Raw genomic sequence first — 22,143 nt, 5'->3', positions numbered from 1 at the left:
TTTTCTCCCTTCTGTGGGTTTAACTACATATTTTAATACAACATAATGGTTCTCTTTGTCAGATGAAATGTTGAGCTGGTTGGCTCCTGTCACATGGTATAGAGCAGAGTCCATTTGCAATACACAAGAAGAGAAGCATAACATCAACCTGGTGACAAATAGAGATTGTGTGTTTACTACAGTCTGAAGAAACTTTGTCCTGTGAGTATATTAGAGTCTAATGAGGGCAATAAATAAATAGCAATACTCAAAACAGCCACATGGTCCTGAAGGATGACTGAATGAGGAGTATAACTATAGACACCTAATGGACACTGGGAGACAATGCTCTACTTTAATATTGATTCCACCAGGTGAAATTTACTGGGTTGAGTATTGTCTTGCATCTTTTGATCCCTTCAACTGTGTTGATCAAAGTTCTTGTATGTGGAAGTGTGTTGCAAAGACATGAAGAATGACAACTGCTGCCATAGCAGGTTTTTGGCCAGCTGAGTGCTAGGGTACCTTACTAGAGGAAGTCAAAGCTCAAATTGTTTTGTTTGTTTGTTTGTTTGTTTGTTTGGAGACAGGGTCTCACTCTGTTGCCCAGGTTGGAGTTAAGTGACACAATCATGATTCACTGCAGCCTCAACCTCCTGGGCTCAAGCAATCCTCCCACCTCAGCCTCCTGAGTAGCTGGAACTACAGGCACATGCTACCATGCCCGGCTAATATTTGAAATTTTTTGTAGAGATGAGGGTCTCACTATACTGCCCAGGCTGGTCTCAAACTCCTGGGCTCAAGTGATTCTCCTGCCTCAGCTTCCTTAAGTGCTGGGATTACAGGTGTGAGCCACTGTGCCCAGCCCAAAGCGCAAGTTCTAATGATGGTAAGCATGCTGAATTGTGGTTCTTGTTAAAGGAAAAAGTCCTGACCTAATCCATCTACAGAATAAAAAAGTTCTTTTTAAATGATGGTGTGTGACTTCTTGTAGTAGGCTAAAGAACTGCCCAGGTAGAAGTCCGGTCTGTGAATTTTGGGCATAGGTATGTATTTAGACTGCCTGGGATGGCAGGGAGTAAAAAATATACAGAGTAAGGGGTAGAACTGGGCTAGATCCACAATGGTAAAAAGTGTTTGCCAAATAAGAATGGGAAAGGGAAGGGGAAAGACAGTGAAAACATGAAAACATAGGTATAAAGATGCAGAAATGTTTTTTAAAAACTCCCTTGATTTCTTCATTTCACACTGATTAAAAGGGCTGACAATGGGATAAAATCCCTTTAACATGGCATACCAAGCACTTTAACTTTTCAACTTTCCCACTTTATCCTCAACCACATACTCCCCTACTTGAATGTGATGCTCCCACAACACTGCACTTCAGGTATGCTCTTCCATACCTCCCTGCCTTTGCACAAATCTCCGCCATTTTCATCTAGTAAAAAACCAATAATTCACTCTCTGCAAAATCAATCCTGGTTTTCCTCTGATTTAGCTTGTTCCTCTAGGCCCCACATGCCTTTTACTAGCATGTTTTTTGTACTGTGACTTATTCTTCACAGTGATGATTTCTTCCCTACTGGACTAACCATTGAGACAGTGAGTTCATCATTACTGGTCTTTGTACACTCAGAGCCTGGTAACATTTTGGTCATGTAATGTCTGTTGAATGAAAAATGAATGAATAAATGAACATGCCTCTATCTGGGATAATAGCATACTTCACCTAAAGAAAGGAAACTCAAACAAATAACCCTTTGAGGAGTCAGAGAGATCAAATGGAAAATTTATCAGGCAGAGAACTAGAAGCCCTGGATTCCACTCCTTACTTTATCACTAGGTAAGCATGAGAATTTGCACACTCTACTTCATTTCTCTGGGTCTCCATTTTTAACATTTCTAATGTATGGGTATGGGTAAGGGTAGATGACATAGAAATGTTTACATGGATTCCCACTTACTGGGCACGTACTCTATGGCAGGCATTATATATAGTAAAAGTGCTTTTCTTATGCCATTTAGTTTTCATTTGCTCCTGAGAACATCCCTAGGAAGTAGGCATTTATTCTCTATTTTAGAGATAAGAATATTAAGTTCAAAGAACTTGCCCTAGGCAAAATAGCTAGTGAGTGGCTAAAAAAAGAAGGAATCCAAATTGGTCTGCCTCTTAACTACATGCTTTCAAACATTAGGTCATAACACTTACATGGAAGATCTTCGATATTTTAAAATAAAAAAAATTGGGAGCTTCTCAGGCCATATGATAGTCCCAAAATGTGGCAGCACTTATTTATCCTATTCTTCTCTGAGAAGGAGCTGCCTTCAGATGCTGGGGACTGGGTGACAGGAGGGTGAAGATGTACCGAACAGCAGAGTCTTGAAATATGAAACAGCCTTTCTGGATGAAAGGTCAGAACTCAGAGAACGAAAGAAAATGCAGGATGAAATGATATGAAAGAGGGAGGAGGCTAGGGGATGGCCTGGCAGAAAAATAAGCACAGGGAGAGGAACGCAGGAAGTGAGGCTGAGAGGTGCTGATAAGGGCATGGGGCTTGGCTGAGGAGAATGATGAAGGCACCTGGTGTTCCTGATGGGCAGAGCTGCGGGAGGCAGGTGGCCACGCTGAGGAGACTGGCCCACCAGTACAGCAATTCCCGCTGAAACTGGGAACTGGATGGACAAGCCTGCTGCCCTAAGAACAGAGGTGGTTAAAAGAGAGAGCTCAGCCTGGGCCTGATAGGAGAAGAAGGGAGACTTAAGAAAACAACCACCCCACAGCTCCAAAAGGAGGAGCTTGCAGACTGAAAGAGAAGCGATGACAGACAGTGCCTGGAATGGACCGTTTAATGCTTTAAACCTGTGCCAAACTAACTGAGTAACGTGAGACTAAACTGGTGATTTACCTCAATTCTGGGAGAGATTAGTCTTTGTACATCGGCAGCAGAAACAAACATTACTATTTTATAGTGATGAGTGTTATTAGTACTGAAAAGACCCAATCATGTGTAATACTTTACAGTTTACAAAGCACGTTCACATATGGGATCTCATCGAATTCCCATGACAATCCAGGCATCACTTTCCACATAGCAAAATTAGGCTTTGGTTTTGTCAAATGATTTGCCCCAAGTCAGGTGGACCTGTGGCTGGCACCTAGGTCTTCCCATTCCTGGTCCAGAAATAAAATGTAGCTTACATCTCAGGAAAGAAAGAAAAGACAGTTAACTACACAAAAGAACATACACTAAACTCCGAGAGTGGAGTTCAGAGGAAGCAGCAAATTTGGGGGCAATTGGGAAAGGCTTCAGGTGACTGTAGACTGGATAGGAGAAAGGGATTACTAAGAAGGCAGGGAAAGCACAGAGGCTGGGCCTTAAAGGTGTATTCTACCTCCCCAGCCCTTCTCCTCCAGCATAGCAGCTGCAAGTGCAATCATTTAACAAATATTTATTGTTGACATTGTGCTCAATGCCAAGGAGCCAATGGTGAGCAAGAAGTTTACTCTGAGACCAGCAGTATCCGGGTTACTTGCTGTGGGGGTGGGGGTGTGTGTCATCTGTTCTTTCGTAAAAAGGGAGAAGTTCTAGCCTCAAGAGTGACACCCCAATCTATCACAGAAATGTAGGACCTCCAGTTTTTCAAACTGTACTATGTTCCCAAAACAGAAGAGGACTCTACCCCTCCGTTGGCAAGTGATCAGAAACGGACAGAGCTGAAAACAGGGCATTAAAGTGGCTATTTCATATCAGAGTCATAGTAAAAAGCAAAAGCCAAAAGCCAAAAGGGTTGTGTTTAGTTCCTTACTCCACAATTTTATATTTGCCCTCCCAACAGCCAAGCTCCATTGTGTATACTATGCACACACAGTAAAGAAAAAATGTGATATGGGAACACAGGGAGAGTCTGCAAAGTGCTGAAACAGCATACCTGGCAGCTGCTAAAACAAAACTTCAAAGATTTGGCGTCTCTGAAAAGCCATCAGGCAGGACCCCACCCACTCCCCCTGCTAGCCACGGCTTCCCTGGGAGCTAGTACACGTAACCACTTCCGCATGTTTGGCTCTGTTCCCCAGAGTTACAGCAGCTCTAGAAGCCATGTCAGAACCTCCAGCCAGGCAGGTGGGGGTGGCGGTGGCTGTGGGCAGTAGAGGGAGGGTAGAGAAGCAAGACTCCCCCAACATCTAGCCATGGACACATCTCAGAAAATAAAAAGATAATGCTGGGATCTGCTTTAAAAACCCCTTCCTCTCAGTTGGCCTAGCTCTGATAGGTTAAATACTAGTTACACTGAAGCTCTGATCTTGTGAGATTCCCAAGGCATTAGAATATTCCCCTTCCAGGACCACAAATTAGTTCAAGAACAGCATCTGTAGTAAATCTCCAGATCTAAACAAAAGAAGCTCAAGACCTACAGAAGATCCTAAGAGGATATCAACAATGTACCTTTCTTAGAAACTCATTCCTTTTTACTTTTTATTTCACTAACCAAGTTTGAGTCTTTATTACATCTTCTGGGTCAACTATCCAGTCCTGAGCTGTCCAATATGGTAGTCATGAGCCACGTAAGCTCGTTTTGAGCTTTTGACTTGTGGCTTTTATGACTGAGAAACTGAAATTTTCATTTTATTTAATTTTAATTAAAACTTAAATATACACATGTGGCTCGTGGCTACCATACTGGACATCATGGTGAATTATATCTCTCAGGAGCATGATTCCAATAGATGAAAGGCATTAAGGATGAGAAATCCTAATAAGATCTGCTTGGGACATCAGGGAAGGTTGCAGGAAGACTGCAATAAACTGAGCCCTGTGTGAGAACAGGATATCCATTCACTCATGCTTTTACTCAATATTTGTACATCAATAAGTTCCTACTGCTTACCAAGGCACTGGGATACAATAATGAATAAGACAACATACACTTAAGTGAAAGAGTGATAGAAAGTAAACAGTAAACAAATAGAATAAGTGCTACAGAATGGCATAAGTGAGGATGTGGTGATGGGAAAATATACAAGGCTTATATATTTGTGTTCCAAAATATTATCTTTCATGTTTCATTAATTATTTTAATGAAAAAATAAAAACTGTATATATTTATGGTATACACCATGATGTTTTGGAATATGTTATACATTGTGGGATGGCTAAATTGAGCTAATTAACACATGCTTTACCTTACATATTTTTGTGTGTGCTGAGAAGAGTTAAAATCTACTCTCTTAGTGATTTTCAAGTATATAATACATTGTTATTAATTATAGTCACCATGTTGTACAATAATAGGCTTACTTTTGATCTGTTGACTTGGCTGACACTGAACTTATGAAGAAGAATGCAAGTGGTAAGGTGGACTGGACCCAGATGCAGGTGCTCACTTTGGAAATCAGGCCACAATTTTTGTTTTTGTTTTTGTTTTTCACATTGTGGTGTGTTGGATCCTTTTCCTTCTTCTTGAAAAAATTTGTTTTAATTATCCAAGTGACCAAAATGTCAATACAGGAAATATTTAGAATACAGAAAACAAATTAGAAAGACTCAGACTTGAGAGGTAGAAGCCTAATTATGCTATATCCCCAACAATTTATCCTTAGCAATACAGCCAATATCTCACTATTTCTCTAACTTTTCTACTATTTCTCATTTAGTTGTGAACTTGGAAGAAAGGAGAATGATTAATGATACTTCCTAATTCCCCCACACCAACTTCTAGGCTTTTATATGAACTAAAAAATCTCCTTTACGGATATGCCAGCTTGATTTCAGTTTCTATCACTTGAAACTCCAAGTGTTTTGACTAATACATTATTTCTGACACACTGTCTGAGCCAGACTGGCTCCCACTTACTGTCCCTGCAAATACCTTAAATATCTTGCACATTATCTTCTTTTTTGTTCCATTTCTTAACCTATCCGTAGCCTATACACCTGGGACTGAATTTACACCCTACCTTAAACTCTTCCTCTGCAGAACCTTATATTTTCACCCAAGTCTTTAGTATCTTTTTTGAATTGTGAACTCATCTGAACCCATATGCTCTTTTAAAATCACTCGCTTTCTGTGTTACATGAAAAAAAAAAAAAAAGTAAATGTATAGGACAGTATTACTCAACCTGAGGATGGCAAGAATGAAGACCTTTATGATGATTCACTTCTGCTTAATGAATAGTAAATGTATTTCTCTTCCTTATGATTTTCTCAATAAATTTTTTTATTCTCTAGCTTACTTTTTAGTAAGAATACAGTATATAATACATACATTATATACCATATGTGTTAATTACTGTTTATCCATAAGGCTTCTGGTCAATAATGAGCTATTACTAAGAGTATGGATTACAATTCTTTGATCCTCTCAGATTCTCACATAGTGCCAAGCACCAAATATATGTGCAATTATCTCTTAAGTGATGAATATCAGCCTGTTGGCCTATCCAAGCCCCATCTACCCTTCCAGGTTCAACTCACACCTTTTCTTTTCCATGAAGTTTTCGCCAGCTTCTCCAGCCAGAGTGATAAATTTCTCCTCGGAACTCTCACCACTTAAGAAAAGGTTTTCATCTTCCTATTCAATAATTAAGCACATATTGCTTTATAGTACTTGCATTAGTAAATTTTATGATCAGTAATTTTCCTTCTTGAGGACAGGGATTTGTCTGATACCTCCTTCAGGGCCCAGTCTCTCACACTGAGGAGATATTCAGTAATTTTACATGTTAACTTTTTGAGGATAACATTACTGTAACAACTATCAGATGAAATCATTTCCTAGCTGAAACATTACTTACTACCAGTTTCACCCTTGCTTTTGCACATATTTTAATTTACTAAATATTTGTTGAAGAAGGTAACAAAACTCTTTTTGAAGCTTATATTTCAAATGTCAGTACTGGGCTCAAGCAGCTAGTAAGATATTTGAGAGTATTCAACAGTATAGGCAGGGTCTTTCATTTACTTAGTTTTACTTGGTGCAACCCAGTTTCAAAAGAATGTACAGTTGACCCTTGAACAATACAGGGGTTGGGGTGCCAACCCCTGCACAGTCGAAAATTCAGGTACAACTTCTGACCCCCCACAAAAACTCAACTACTAATAGCCTATTGTTGACCGGAAGCCTTACGGATAAACAGTAATTAACACATATGGTATATGATATATGTATTATGGGACTGTATTCTTACTAAAAAGTAAGCTAGAGAATAAAAAATTTATTGAGAAAATCATAAGGAAGAGAAATAATATATTTACTATTCATTAAGCAGAAGTGAATCAGCATAAAGGTCTTCATTCTCGTCATCCTCAGGTTAAGTAAGCCGAGGAGGAGGAGGAAGAGAAGGGGTTTGTCTTGCTGTCTCAGGGGTGGCAGATGATGGAAGAAAAGCCACATATAAGTAGATTCGAGCAGCTCAAACCTGAGTTATTCAAGGGTCAATTGTGATTTGATTTCCTCTAGCCTTTAAGTACATCCAATTTACTAACCTCTTTATGGCTGCCTTACCTACTATGCCAGAAAGCCTGCTTTTCTCATCTAAATCCTTTTAAATTATAGTCACATCATTGAGATGCACCCATATTTCATTCTCATCACAGAAAGATAGCAAAACTTATTTTTAAGATCAGCCAGGCCAGGTCGGGCACAGTGGCTCACACCTGTAATCCCAGCACTTTGGGAGACTGAGGCGGGTGGACTGCTTTAGCCTGGGAGTTCAAGACCAGTCTGGGAACATGGTGAAACCCCCTCTCTACAAAAAATACAAAAATTAGCCAGGCATGGTGGTGCACACATGTAGTCCCAGCTACTTGGGAGGCTGAGGGAGGATCGCTTGAGCCTGAGGAGGCAGAGGCTGCAGTGAGCTGTGATCATGCCAATGAGCTTCAGCCTGGTGACAGAGTGAGACCTTGTTTCAAAAAAAAAAAAAAAAAAAAAAAAAAAAAAAGAACCAAGCCAAATGTGGTATTGATTATTGGCTCTGAAGTGAAATTAATATGAATCTTAGCTTGATAATTCATGAAAACCATGAGTAGTCCCTTTACTGCTCCTGAAGCATACGAATGGTCCAAGCAGGACGAGAGTTTGTAACTTATAATGAACACCTGGGCCTGCCATATGTTGTGACATTTCAAATCCCTAAGCTCTCATACACTGCCTCTCTCACTAGCTTTGCACACATCACCCAAAGAACAGTTGGCTCCCTATTTAAATAAACATTTAAAATTTGGCTTTTCCTAATTATCTTTCTTTACGAGCATTTTAATGATTTATAATAACAGTTTTAATAAGTGGGTACTTACTTCACAATATAAATAAATAATGTCAACCTTAGTATTGTGATTACATATTACTGCTTTCCCTGCTATAATACTGTATTTTATTGTACGTGAGTTACGGCCAGTTGACTCTAAACTGTGTCCCAGTGTAGCAAATACCATATACCAAGCAAGTACAATTTTGTTTCTTTCAAAAAAAGGGAACTAAGACTTAGCTACTAAGAGCCTATACCAAAACTTTGTCCCACAAAGCAGCTTCAGGAAAGAGAGGACTTTTATTCCTTTGCAGATATATAGTTCTATAGTTTTATTTTATGAAAGCATAAATACAGGGAGTTTTTTCTTATTAGCATCTTAACTCCTGAGACCTCTTAAAAAAGAGCATTGATTTCTTAGCTGTACTGGGTAGGTAATACGCTGAGAGTCTTTTAGCAGCGAGAAGGGCAGGTGGGTTAGTTAAAGGATCAGGAAAACTGGCTGGTTTTCCTTCTAAATTTGTTGAGTCAATACTAGGTAAGCTTTAAATATGGATCATCAATGTTCTTCTACATGAGTCAGAAAGAAAGACTGTGTTTCATCACGCCTGTGATCTTCCCAGGCTCTTCCAAAGCTGGTAAACCAGTTAACTTGAAGGGACAGAAGCTGATAGAAAAACCATGCCAGGAGAATTAAACTAAATTATAAATAAAACAACTCCTATAATTTCCTAATTCTAAAAACAGAGTCTCATTTAGCTTAGTGTAAGGAACTTTGTCATAACCAGGCCTCTTAAAACCAAAATAATCATCCATTTTGTAGAGTTACAAAATTATAAAGTAAACAGTTAAATAAGATTAAACAGTTAAATAAAAAAATTATTTGACCAGTAAATAATTTTTGTGAAACTATGGGGTTCTCTTTTAAATCCTTACATACTCTTTTTTTTTTAACGTTGTAGTTAAAAAAACACACACATAATTTAAAATGTACCATCATAACCATTTTTATGTGTACAGTTCAGGAGTGTAAGTATATTCACATAGGTTTTGCCTCTAACAAAGACTCGTGTGTGTGTGTGTGTGTGTGTGTGTGTGTGTGTGTACGCGTATCCTAAGGAAATAGAAGGTGGTTTATCATTAATACTTCAAAGCAGTGTGGAGTGGAGTGAGAGAGGCAAACTTAACTAGAAAAACTGACACTGGCAAACTGCAAACACTGCATTCCATGCTTTATTCTGACTTGTGGATAAGAAAGATCCACGTTTTTCACTCCTGACACTCGGCCCCAGGTTCCCGAACCTATGCTACCTAGGCCCTGGTATGACGTCCAGCCAGCTATCTTTGACAGATTTCCTAAGCTTCCCAACGTTCCTTTATTAGGCAGAAGCCAATCACTTTTGCTCTTGGCACAAACACTGACAGCACTCAGCTCTCTCGGTGAAGGAGGAACTGTAGAATCTGTCACAGAGCTTGAACTGATGCAGCGTATAACTCTTGAGAGGTTACGTGTCTGGCTGAGTGAGAAAAGTAGCAGAGAAAATTCAGATGGAAGTACAGGCCTTTATCATACATGTACTGGAGAAATCGTTTTCCTCAGGGGAAGGAATAGTGAGAGTTAAGACTCAGGAGAAAGGTGAGGTAAACTTTATTTTATGAAAGAGAAGAAAGAGGCATAAGGAGTGAAATATCACTTCTACAGGACTCTGAATATGAATTTTTTTTAGTCCCCCCCACAAAAAGTAGTTTCTCTTTGATTGTGCTCTTTGGCTGGAAAGCATTGTTTATATAACAGGATAAAGTACAAAATTATAAGCTCCAAACTGCTCCAGAGAAAAGCTCTCCCAAAGCTCGACCCCCAGGATAGATGGAAAATATGAGTGTTTACTGGCTGGAACATTGAGCTGCAATGGAAATTTCAACATTCAGGAGACAGCAGAGAAAAAGGGCCTGCTGAGTAGAAAGAAGCTGACCTCCAACCAAGGGGTCAAAGAAAAAGGAAGAGTCTCTTGTTGGCCCCACTCTGATGCCTTCCCATCCTCGGCTAGAAAGGCCAGATTTCTGTTATCCAGTCCCAGGAGCGTACTGCACAGGGTGATGGCCAGAGTGATGTAAACTAGGTACTAAACTAAGTGGTGAGCAATACCATATCCCAAGCAAGTTCAATTTTAAGTTTCTTTCTTTCTTTCTTTTTTCTGGAAAGGGAACTGAGAGTTACCAAGAAACCTACACCAAAAAAGTAAAAAGTAAAAACCATGCTGGCCACTTTCACATACACAACTCAGTTTAATCTTACAACAACTTAATGAGGTGGGTTTAACTATGTGCATTGAAAAAAAGATGGGGAAATTATGGTTCAGAAAAGCTAAGCAACTTGCCCAAGGTCACACACTTAATAAGGCAAACCTAGGTCTGTCTGACTCTAAAGTCCCTTCTCTTCCCACCATACTATGCCATCTTCCTAACAGAAATTGCTGGGCCCATTTCCTATAAAGGTAACATGCTTTTCAAGAAAGAGAAGTATTTAAAGGACTATGTTCAGAATAATTCCCTTATAACAGAGGCAGAGGATAAAAACAAAACCTTGCCATTTGGCCACTAAGTAATTTTTGTGGAACTATGGAGCTCTCTTAAATCCTTACATACTCTTCTTTGTTTAAAAAAAAAAAAAAAACACATAATTTTAAATGTACCATCTTAACCATTTTTACATGTATAGTTCAGGAGTGTTAAGTGCATTCACATCATTCTGCAACAGATTTCTAGAACATTTTCATCTTTCACAGCTGAAACTCTATACCCATTAAACACTAATTCCCCCTCCCCTCTTCCCCCAGCCCTTGGCAACCACCTTTCTACTTTCTGTTTCTATGATTTTGACTACTTTAGATGTTTCGTATGAATGGATTTGTCCTTTTGTGACTGGCTGGCTTCACTGAGCATACGACCCTCAAGGTTCATCCGGGACAGGACTGACTCCTTACATGCCCTTCTTGACACCCTTTCTTCAAATTGTCTATCCCATAAAATTCAGATCTTTGTCATATGCCCCCTGCCACTGCTCTGATTGTTTCATGTGTATACACTCCCTTTCCCTGCCAGACAGTAGCCTCTTAGTGATCAAACATTATGTCTTCAAAAGTCTTTTAGGCCCTACCCAGCACCCAATACTGTGCTGAGAACATGGAAGATATACCCTAGAGAGTAAATTTTGAGATTGGGAACCATTCTGTTTTATTTACTGCTCCTCCCCAGCAACTAACACAATGCCTGACATATAGAAAATGCATAAGACATATTTTTAAAGGAAATTAACAAATTCAGTATTTCTGAGGACTGACTGAGAATGAAAAGATGAGAAGTTAGAGACCTGAATCTCCAGCAACATTTCTAAGAATAATCTAAAAGAAGGGAGGAAAGTATTATTAACTAAACTAGAATCAGAATCTCTGAAAAATGTGTACCTTAAAATTACGCAAAGCAGAATACCAAGCTATTTATAATCTATTGTTGAATAAGAGGGCAGAAGGACAGGGTGACATCGAAAATGGTTCCAACTTCTCAAGATTTCCCACTCCTCGGTGGCATTTCAAGTTCATACAGATGTTCTCTAGACAATGGGAGCTGGCCAGGTGGAGCAGCCCATGCCCACAATGTCTTGTCCTATCACAAAAAAGTAGGAACAAACTCACAGCTGTGCTCTTTCTGCAAATTCTCCCATCTTTCATATCGAGGAACAGACAAATGCCCAGGATGCATGTGTGAAAAAGCCAGAGGTGGATAAAAATAATTCAATGACAAATGCTGGAAAAACATACAAAGGGGCAGGAGCCAGACATTCGTGGGATTCCCTGACAGCTCGATCCACAAGGAAGGGCTGGACTGGAAAAAAACAGGGCCTCAGGTTCCTGCCAAGCTGTCTGAGGCCCTGTTCTTCCCAAATCATTCCAAGCAGCAGCCAAGACTTTACAGTAACCCTTCCATGTCTCACAAAGAAAAACGCACTAAGAACCCACTGAGTGCTCCACACCTAGAAAATCCTCCCTGATGCAGTCCAATTCCATGGAAGGCTGGCAGTAATGATGAGATGGCTCTGCACATCAACTTTCAGCTCCTAATGACTTCCCATGTACCCCAAAAATGGATAATTAAAAGGCAGCTTGAAAAATCTAATCTTTCTCATTGGCTAAAGAAAAGTTAACACACCCACGTATCAGCACCTAGAAACTGAAAACATCACTTTAAGGAAGAGAGAGGTCATAAACACTTGGTACCTGCATCCTGGAGTCCCTACTGTATAATTCTAAGTCGGCCTTGCTTGGAGGCACACCTCAGGCTTCTAAACATGTGACTGTATTTGGCTCTAACTACTTTCTCTTCCGGAGAATGGCCTGCAATTAATCTCACTTATTACCTCTGAAAAGTAACAACAGAGGGATGGCTGGCCAAGTCCAACTCCAGAGTGTCTAGGGAACTGCAAGCTACATGGCCAGGCCTCAGACTGTCTGGGCAAGTCGTGGGCTCTTTGCCTTCTTCTCCCACAACAAAGCCTGAATAGGACTCCAGACAGACCAAAGGAACCAAGGGATTTGAGGCGCTGGGCTGAGCTTACACTGACCCAATGGGAGACGACAACCCTGAGGCTACATTTGGGGTGATGTCAAAACAGCGGGAGAACAAGGTCGTTTGATGAAAACTTGTGTGATCCATAAAATTGGGAACAATAGCAACACCATAGGGAAATGAAAAATAACACCATTTGCAGAGTTCTTGTGAGTCACCAGTTTTCATTCCTGTGGCTACCAAGTCAGTGAATTCTCTGACATGCAGAGATGAAAAGTACAGCTAGCAATGGGATTCTCTTTACATTTTATTACAGTTTACAAGGCAGCCCCTAGTTTAGTGAATTATCAGAACTAAACTGGAATCCACTGTTGCTACTGTAGAAAAACTATTGAGAGTAACTTTTATTTACCTAGCACCTACTTCCAGGGAGATCAAAGTGCTTTAAAGGCAATCTAAAAGCTCTCAAAACAGGCCACTTCATATGTAAGTATGCTTACCCAATAAAAAGATTAAATGAATAGCTTAGGGTCACTTAATGTCAAACCAGTAATAAAACTCAGATCTCTAAGCTACAAATCCTGTATTCATTAAACTTAGTCATCCTTACGACTAAAGGAGGAACAACAAGAGACTAAATATCCACAAAACAGTGACTTACCAGGTATAAATGGAAACCAGGACATTGGGCTGTGCAGGTTGTATGCTGCAGGTCTGGCTGCGGCCTATATCACAGCCAAGTCTGGAAAGACCTCTGAGAATTCACTCAGGGCTCCTTTAGGTTGGGTGCCTCTGGGAATTCCATGTGGAACTGGGACTCTCAAGCTCAGGTTGCAGGCAGTGCTGGCAACCAGAGGTCACCTGGGGGTAGAGGAAAATGTCCCAGGGCTACCCTGAACTGAAATGGGACTTGAAAACTGGCTCTTGTGTTTGAAGAGGAGGTAAAGAGAAGGCTGCTGTGGGTAAAAAGAAAAGGAAAAGACCAGGGGACTTTGTGGGGATTGCTTTTTGGCTGGAATGGGTCAGAAGTAAATCGTGTAATGCACCATGAGCATTATCGCAGCCTCGTGGGCAGTCTGGCTGGGAGAAGGCCACTCACAGTACTGAACCTTAGGTCCTGGCACATCCTTAACCGAACTCATCATCTTTCATCTCACTACTAACAGGCGCTACCAAAAGAAAGCTCTAAACCCAGCCACAATTGTTATTAAAAATGTTTTCCCTCATTCCATCTACAAGTATAAAAAGTGCTAAAACTCAATTTCTCCAAAATGTGTGGTTTTAACATTTTGTTTACAGTAGGAGCAATGCCTGTAGCCTTGTCATACAGACATTATATCCAAAATTGCAGTGAAAATGTCTTCCATAAAAACAAGGCTCTGAATTTAAAATGAAAATGGAATATCTGGAAATTTTTTTATGGAAAATAAAGCTCTATGGTATAAACAGAATTTCTTGTTTATGACTGATGTTTTACAGCAGACTTCTCCTGGGGAGAGAACTGTGTGGAGGATGCTCTGCTTTAAAAAGTCCTGCGTCTTGGTCTTCGGTTCTTTATAATTCTCAGTTAAGATGATTCTTTTCGCCCCGACCACAATGATCACCGGTATGAAAGACACCGTACCGCAGGATGATGTAATGTGCTTATATCTATGCTGCTTCCTGGGCAGAGCTTCTGCTTCCCAAATTAGTTCCTTAAGTAATAATTCTAACACCAATAGATACTTTACCAACAACTAGGTATTTCCTCCATGTCCAAGTCTTCAGTACCCCCTCTGAATCTCAGGGCAAAGCAGCATACTAAAAGGCAGAGGCTGGAAGTACTGGCATGGGGCGTGAGGGCTTGGTCGGGCACCTGTGGTAAAACTTCTTTGGTTGGAGGGAACAATATCTCAGCTGGTCAAAATACTTCACTGTAACAGTCACATTTCTCTCTAGCGCATTCGACTCAGGGACTGATGCAATTTAATCCATATTTAATAGGCACTAAAGCAAGATGTGCTGGGAATCCATTTCTTTTTTTTTTTTTTTTTAATACAGGGGTAATTAAAACACACAGCAAGACCAGAATTCAATACAGTGGTTTCTTTTTTAATTTGGAAGCTGCTTACATTATTGCCAGAAGCTACGTGGATTTTATCTTTAGCCACATCTCTCAACTACATAAAGGAAATTTCCTTCCCACTTCCCAAATGAGCATTGTTCAGCGAGGTTGTTTGAGTTCAGTTATATGAAACTAGATAAAAAAATAAGAAACAAATATGTCCTTCAAAAGAACAGAGTCTACAGTTACTGAAACACAATGTAGTATAAAAAAAACTATAAACAACACAAGGTATTAAAAAAAAAACTAAGAGACAAGGACAAAGTGCAAAAAGTTGGCACATAAAAATGATGACTATAAGCAAGGTTTAAACATAGTGTAAATTCTTGCTCTTTTACCCTAAGGTGATTTTCTTAACTATCTCAGAAATGTCCTTTTCATTTGATATGCTTGAAAACTGTCTTACAAATAAAATGAGGCTCTCTTAGTCAGGTGCCAGAGGATCGAGGCAGGTGGAGAAAGGGCATATGCCTTAGTGCTATCTCCATACAGAACTCAAGGTGGGAATGGCTTGCTTGGGACACAGGCCATCCCTGAGTAACCCAAATGCTAGTTGCAGGGCCCTTCACATACCTGCTTCCAGGAGAGCTGGAGTGATTCTCGGGAGCTTGGGGGTCTGACTGTGTAGACCATGTCGGGCCACTAGGACTGATGATGGGTCGGAGGGTTGGGGGAGCTGAAGCACTGCTTCTGTTTATGATGCCAGTTGCCAAATTCAGGTTTGTTACCTAGAAATAAAGCGAGGGAAATAACCTGACTTTACAGAGTTTTTAAAAAGCATCATTAACAACATATAGGCAAAATCAAGTCAAGGCCAACAGATGCTGACCCCTCTGAGCTGAAGCTGTGGCTGTGACAAAGGCACTCAGGAAGGAATGGCTCCTGTGCACAAAGAGCAGAAGTGAGAGTGGTCAGTGTCAGTGTAAGTTAACAAGCATTTATTTTGCTCCTACTAAGTGCAGGGCACTGGACTGTGCCGGGTCTATGAAAAACAAAGACGGATAACAAAAACAGCAAGAATCTACTGAGTAGACAATGTTCAAAGAAACGAGGCGAACTAGTCTTTCTGCCCTTGTTACCTCATCTGAATGTTCTAAATGCTCAGTAAATTTTAGTTATAAATAACATTATTATAATACACAAAGAATCCACTGATTTAGAAAGAAAAAAGACGGTTAGGAGAAAAATAGTCATGGACTTCAATAAATAATGTACAAAGAAGGAATACAATTAGCCAATTAAACATGTAAAACTAGTCATCATTTCTACTGGTAAATGTAAATTATAAGAAAGACACGCAAATTACAAAGAAATGCAAGTTACAAGACATCATTTTTGCATATCACTTTGGTATACAATATTTAAAGATAGTATCCACAAATGGCAAAGGGTGAAATTAGGTACTTATACTACTTGTGTGACTATAAATTGGTAGAATCTTCCTAGAAATCAACTGGCAATACCTTATTAAAATATATTACAATATTTGTATACTTTGATACTACAATCTAGCTTCTGGGAACTATACAACAAAACAATTGCAGATGATTAATGACAGGTGGCTATCATAATAGCAGTCAATATTTATTAGAACTCACTAGGTGCCAAGCTATGTGTAAATGAGTACGTCGCACACATCTCATTTAAATTGCCACAAGTCTGTTGGTAAGTACCATAATACTCATTTTACAAGAAAGAAACCGAGGCCTATGATTGAATTGAGGCCTAGAAATAAATGGCAGAACAAGAATTCAAACCATAGTTTTTCAACTGCCAAAGCCCATTTTCTTACTCACTACATTATACTGTGAATACTGAAAATCAAGCATTGTTTTTAATACTGAAAAAGGAGATCTAAATGGCTAACAATATTGTTAAATAAATTTTGCCCTAAGTAAGACAATATTACGTATGCATTAACATTTTTTGAAAAATAGTCCGGGCGTGGTGGCTCACGCCTGTAACCCCAACACTTTGGGAGGCTGAGGCGGGTGGATCACGAGGTTAGGAGACCGAGACCAGCCTGGCTAACATGGTGAAACCCTATGTCTACTAAAAATACAAAAAAAAAAAAAAAAAATTAGCCAGGCGTGGTGGCAGGCACCTGTAGTCCCAGCTACTCAGGAGGCTGAGGCAAGAGAATTGCTTGAACCTGGGAGGCAGAGGTTGCGGTGAGAAGAGATCATGCCACTGCACTCAAGCCTGGGTGACAGAGTGAGACTCCATCTCAAAAAAAAAAAAAGAAAAGAAAAGAAAAATAATGATATAGGAACACGCTAATATCTCAAGTAAAAAAAATCGTGGTAGCAAAAATCACAATATGAAACTGTATAGAGTAGATCCAAATTTCTTTAAACACATACACACACAAACACAAGTGAAAAGACATTCCTGAAGACTAGAAGTAAAAATCCAGACTATAAGTAGCATTTATTTCTGAATTACAACTTATTTTCTTCCTTATCTATATTCTCCAAATTTTATAAACTGAGCATGTATTACCTTTTATAATAAAAAATTATTTTAAAGTTGTTATGGCAAATACAGATGTATTTAAAACCTGGGCAGTGGTAGTGGAATCAGAAAAGAAAGAATGGGGCCGGGCACGGTGGCTCACGCCTATAATCGCAGCACTTTGGGAGGCTGAGGCAGGTGGATCACAAGGTCAGGAGATCGAGATCATCCTGGCTAACATGGTGAAACCCCGTCTCTACTAAAAATACAAAAAAATTAGCTGGGCGTGGTGGCGGGCACCTGTAGTCCCAGCTACTCGGGAGGCTGAGGCAGGAGAATGGTGTGAACCCAGGAGGTGGAGCTTGCAGTGAGCCAAGATCTCACTACTGCACTCCAGCCTGGGCGACAGAGTGAGACTCCGTCTCAAAAAAAAAAAAAAAAAAAAAAAAAGAAAAGAAAAGAAAAGAAAGAATGGTTGTGAGAAGCATTTCAAAGTAAGATGCACCGGGACTGTTGAAGAGAGAGAAGACACAAAGCTGAATGCAGGATTTTAAGCATGAGACACTAGAGAACAGTAGTGAAAGTCATCAGACTGGAGATGTTAATTCCAAGGCAAATGTTTGGCTATAAAATGTTCTAAGGGCCTAATAATTTTGAAACTACAAATGAGAGAATTATGATTTTTTTTCCCTAAAAATTCTGAAAGAAAAAAGGTCATTTTTAGCAAGAGTATAGTGTTTCATTCCTAGTTATAGAATTCAGTAAGTGAAAACAACTCAGGACTGTGTCTTTACACCAAAGGACTAAAAATAATTTTCTTGGAAAGAAAGTTGTTTTCCATAGGTCAGGAGCAATTCCCAGTGTCTGTGGAGGCTGCACCCTCTAGTGTGGACCAGTCTTTGGAAGAAAAACTCACCGGCCATATATGACTTATCATTTCTGTCCCCTACTGCTTCTACAAGGGGGAGAAGAAGGGCATATGCTAACTAAAAGGCAGGGAAGAGGCTGGGCGTGGTGGCTCACACCTGTAATCCCAGCACTTTGGGAGGCCAAGGCGGGTGGATCATGAGGTCAAGACATCGAGACCATCCTGGCCAACATGGTGAAATCCCATCTCTACTAAAAATACAAAAATTAGCTGGGCGTGGTGGTGTGAGCCTGTAGTCCCAGCTACTCAGGAAACTGAGGCAGGAGAATTGCTTGAACCCAGAAGTCAGAGGCTGCAGTGAGCTCAGATAGCGCACTGCACTCCAGCCTGGCGACAGAGCGAGACTCTTGTCTCAAAAAAAAAAAAAAAAAAAAAAAATAAGACAGGGAAGATATAGTAGCAAATTATGGTAGTAACTTCTCTGGCCACTAGTTTCTCTGAAATGCCTTGTCCTTCTTCCTATATCCTAGGGGCAATGTAGGTCAGGCCTTCAGACAATGAACCAGACTCCCTGTACTCCTGAACTCACTCCTGCCCCACACTGACTCCTCTGCTTTCCTGCCCTGATTTGACCATCAGACCTTTTATATTAGACATGATCTTGAAACTTACAGAAAAAGTACAGTGAGAAAGGTCTTTATGATAACTAACAGCTTCTCCAATTACTGCTTTAGTTGTGCCAAGAACTTAATAAAGGAGGCTTAATAATTTATAGGGGAATATCAATAAATAAACAATGTGCACACTTTACCATGTTTAGTATAAATGATATCGTCTGGAGATTAGTGAATGGAAAGGAGAGGAGATAAAAGATTTAGTAAACCTATCCTTTGGCAAGACTGCCCCTAATTTAAACATCATCATATGCATCTTAACAGTTACCACTTATGGAACACTCACTATGTGCAATGATCTTGCATTATGGTTTTATTTTCTTGTTTGGAGACAGAGTCTCACTCTGTTGGAGTGCAGTGGCGTAATCTTGGCTCACTGCAACATCTACCTCCTGAGTTCAAGTGATTCTCCTGCCTCAGCCTCCCAAGTAGCTGGAATTATAGGCACCTGCCACCAGGCTAATTTTTGTATTTTTAGTAGAGACAGGATTTCACCATGTTGGCCAGGCTGGTAACCCCTGACCTCAAGTGGTCTACCCGCCTTGGCCTCCCAAAGTGCTGGGTTCTTGCATGATCTTGAAGTGCATTATCTCATTTAACCCCAAGCAATCCCTTTGTAACAGGTTCTACTGTTACCCATTTTACAAAAGGGGAAGCCAAAGTCAAAAGAGGGTAAACAACTAGACAACAGTCACACACCTGTAAGTGGCAGGGCCAAGACAGAACAGAGAGTGTTCGCCTTCCAGCGCATGTGGTCTACTTTTCCCAAATAATATGGTTTAATGAGTCCTTACAGTAGCGGTGTTAGGCACTCTGGGTTTTATATTTCACTTAGTCCTTACCCATTATTCACAGAGGTAGATACTGTTCCACACCATTTCACAAGTGGAGAAACTAAGGCTCAGAGAGGTTATGATAAGCAATTTGCTCAAAGTCACATAAAAGTTGCAGAACTGGTACTCCAGTTTTAAAAATCTTTTCTAGTTTGGAAACTAGTAGGAAAACAATCCTAGTTACCCTTAATTATTAGAGATTTTTAAAATATCATCAGATACAGACCTCAAATTCTTAAAACAGTGATTATACAGAGATTGACAAAACTATACCAGCTTTTCCTTCTTTCCCTTTGATTTTACTTCCCACTTGTTATCTTTCATCAGAAGACATTAAAGAAGTAAAACAAAGAAAAACATCCTCGGCCAGTTTTGTTTCTTGGCAGGTAAAAAGTGACTTGATCATGAAATTACTTTTGGATTATTGGAGGGTTACGTTTATTCACATAACAACCATTCCTGATGTGATGGATAAACCAAGAAGTGGCAGCCACTGTGATTTTGTTTTATGCAAAAGCAAAGTATCATTGTTAATTTGAGAAACAGCAAAAGTGACTGCTACTTAAATGAGAGACTATACAAGGAATGAGAAAACTTTAAAAGCTTCTCACCTTTCTCTCTAAAGGATTCCTGCTAAAAGAAAACAAAAAATCTGTTCCTACCAAATGATAATAACCTGCCCCTCTAGATTAAATATTCTATTCTTAGACTTGTGGATTTTTTGTCTAGAAGACACTCAGCACATATGCCAGAGCTAACACCCCTACATCCCTCACCCAGCAGTCTCTTCCTAGGACTCATACTGCTAACCCATAATCAAGCAACTCGGGGCTGACTTGGAGATGGTCTCAGAATCTTCTTTACACATTTCTCCAAGTAGCCATCACTGATCTATCAGAAAAACAAGTGAAATAAATCATTTTCTATCTTCTAGAATGATCTGTGATAATGGAAATGTTCTGTAATGTGCACTGTTCAATACAGTAACCCCTAGCCACATGTGACTACTATGCATGTGAAATATGCCTGCTATGACTGAGGAACTGGATTTTAAACTTTATATAATTTAAAATTTAAAAGCCAGATGTAGCTAGTGGTTACCTTATTGCACAGCACAGCTCTAGACTCTCAATCAGATCTGGCTAAATGTTACGTATACAGATTTACACCTGACTAAATTTTGCACCAAGCAAATTATCTCTAGATTAAATTAAGTAAGAAAACCTCTGGTCTTTCTTTTCAGCTTCCCACTTTTTTCCAGAATGGGCAGAAGGAGTCACTGAACAAAAACGAATCTAAGCATCAATTCTGGCTTTAGAACTGCCTTGTCCTGCCTAGAGAAGACCTAAGGGCAGGGAAAATCTCCCAGTATCGGATGAGACCTTAATAAACCCTACAAGCCAATTAGGGTTCATACCTGAAGGTTTCTTCCCTAACAGGACAGAAAGATGATGATTATAGACGTTACCAGGCTACATCCACTTCTCTATCCATCTACATTTCTCCAAATAACATAACAAAACCAGCTCTGATCAAATGAAGAGAAAGTGATAAAGAGCACTTACAGGTACCTGATATACAACGATGATCAACATTTCATTGCTAAATAATTTTTTAAAAGAACAGGCTTACAGTACATGAAGAGACAGCACCACTCACAAAATCAATCACTGGCTCACCATTTTTGTTAGTAGTACAGGTTAACTGTCCCTTAACAGAAATACTTGGGACCAAAAGTGTTTTGCATTTCAGATTTTTTTGTATTTTGGAATATTTGCATTATACCAATTGAGCATCCCAAATCTGAAAACTTGAAATATCATGTAGGTGGCTCAAAAAGTTTCAAATTTTAGAGCAGTTTGGATTTTGGATTTTTAAATTAGGGACACTCAACCTATATTAGGATATTAAAGTGGAGGTCATAGCCATTGGGCCAGTTGGCTTCTCTGGGCTAATAACTAGTGTCTGTGCTATTAAATCTAGGCTTGCCAACCTACGAATTCATGTTATTGGTCACAAAGGGGTCTGGAAAACAGACAGGAGATAGTTGAAAACCTATAGCTTTTTTTTTTTTTTTTAATTGAAACCATGACTCAAAGAACATGCCCTACTGGTAAAGCTAATCAACATCTTTAAGTGAAAAACACAAGTATATACACATAAGAAGCTTATAAGTCTGTGTTTGGACCTTTAAAACGTTCTACTATAATCAATTTTAATATGCTACGTTTTAGATCCACTACAGTAATAATAACAACAAAACTATATTAATACTAATGACGGCTAAATTCAAAAACAGTTTGGGCCAGGCACGGTGGCTCACACCTGTAATACCAGCACTTTGGGAGGCCAAAGCATGTGGATCGTTGGAGCCCAGGAGTTCGAGACCAGTCTGGGCAACATGGTGAAACCCCTTCTC

At 39.7% G+C, this 22,143-nt stretch overlaps 1 protein-coding gene across 1 annotated transcript in view; it reads right to left on the bottom strand.

Moving 5' to 3' along the window:
- Positions 1–22,143, bottom strand: part of TTLL5 (tubulin tyrosine ligase like 5) — a 293,834-nt gene that overhangs the window by 119,450 nt on the left and 152,241 nt on the right. Inside the window, exon 28 of the mRNA NM_015072.5 lies at positions 15,469–15,623. Within this exon, the coding sequence (NP_055887.3) occupies positions 15,469–15,623 (155 nt within the window). The remainder of the gene's footprint in view (positions 1–15,468; positions 15,624–22,143) is intronic.

Source organism: Homo sapiens, chromosome 14, assembly GCF_000001405.40.
Source record: "Homo sapiens chromosome 14, GRCh38.p14 Primary Assembly".
Taxonomy (NCBI): domain Eukaryota; kingdom Metazoa; phylum Chordata; class Mammalia; order Primates; family Hominidae; genus Homo; species Homo sapiens.
The sequence above is the reverse complement of the archived record's forward strand: the minus strand, read 5'-3'. Positions and strand labels throughout refer to the sequence as shown.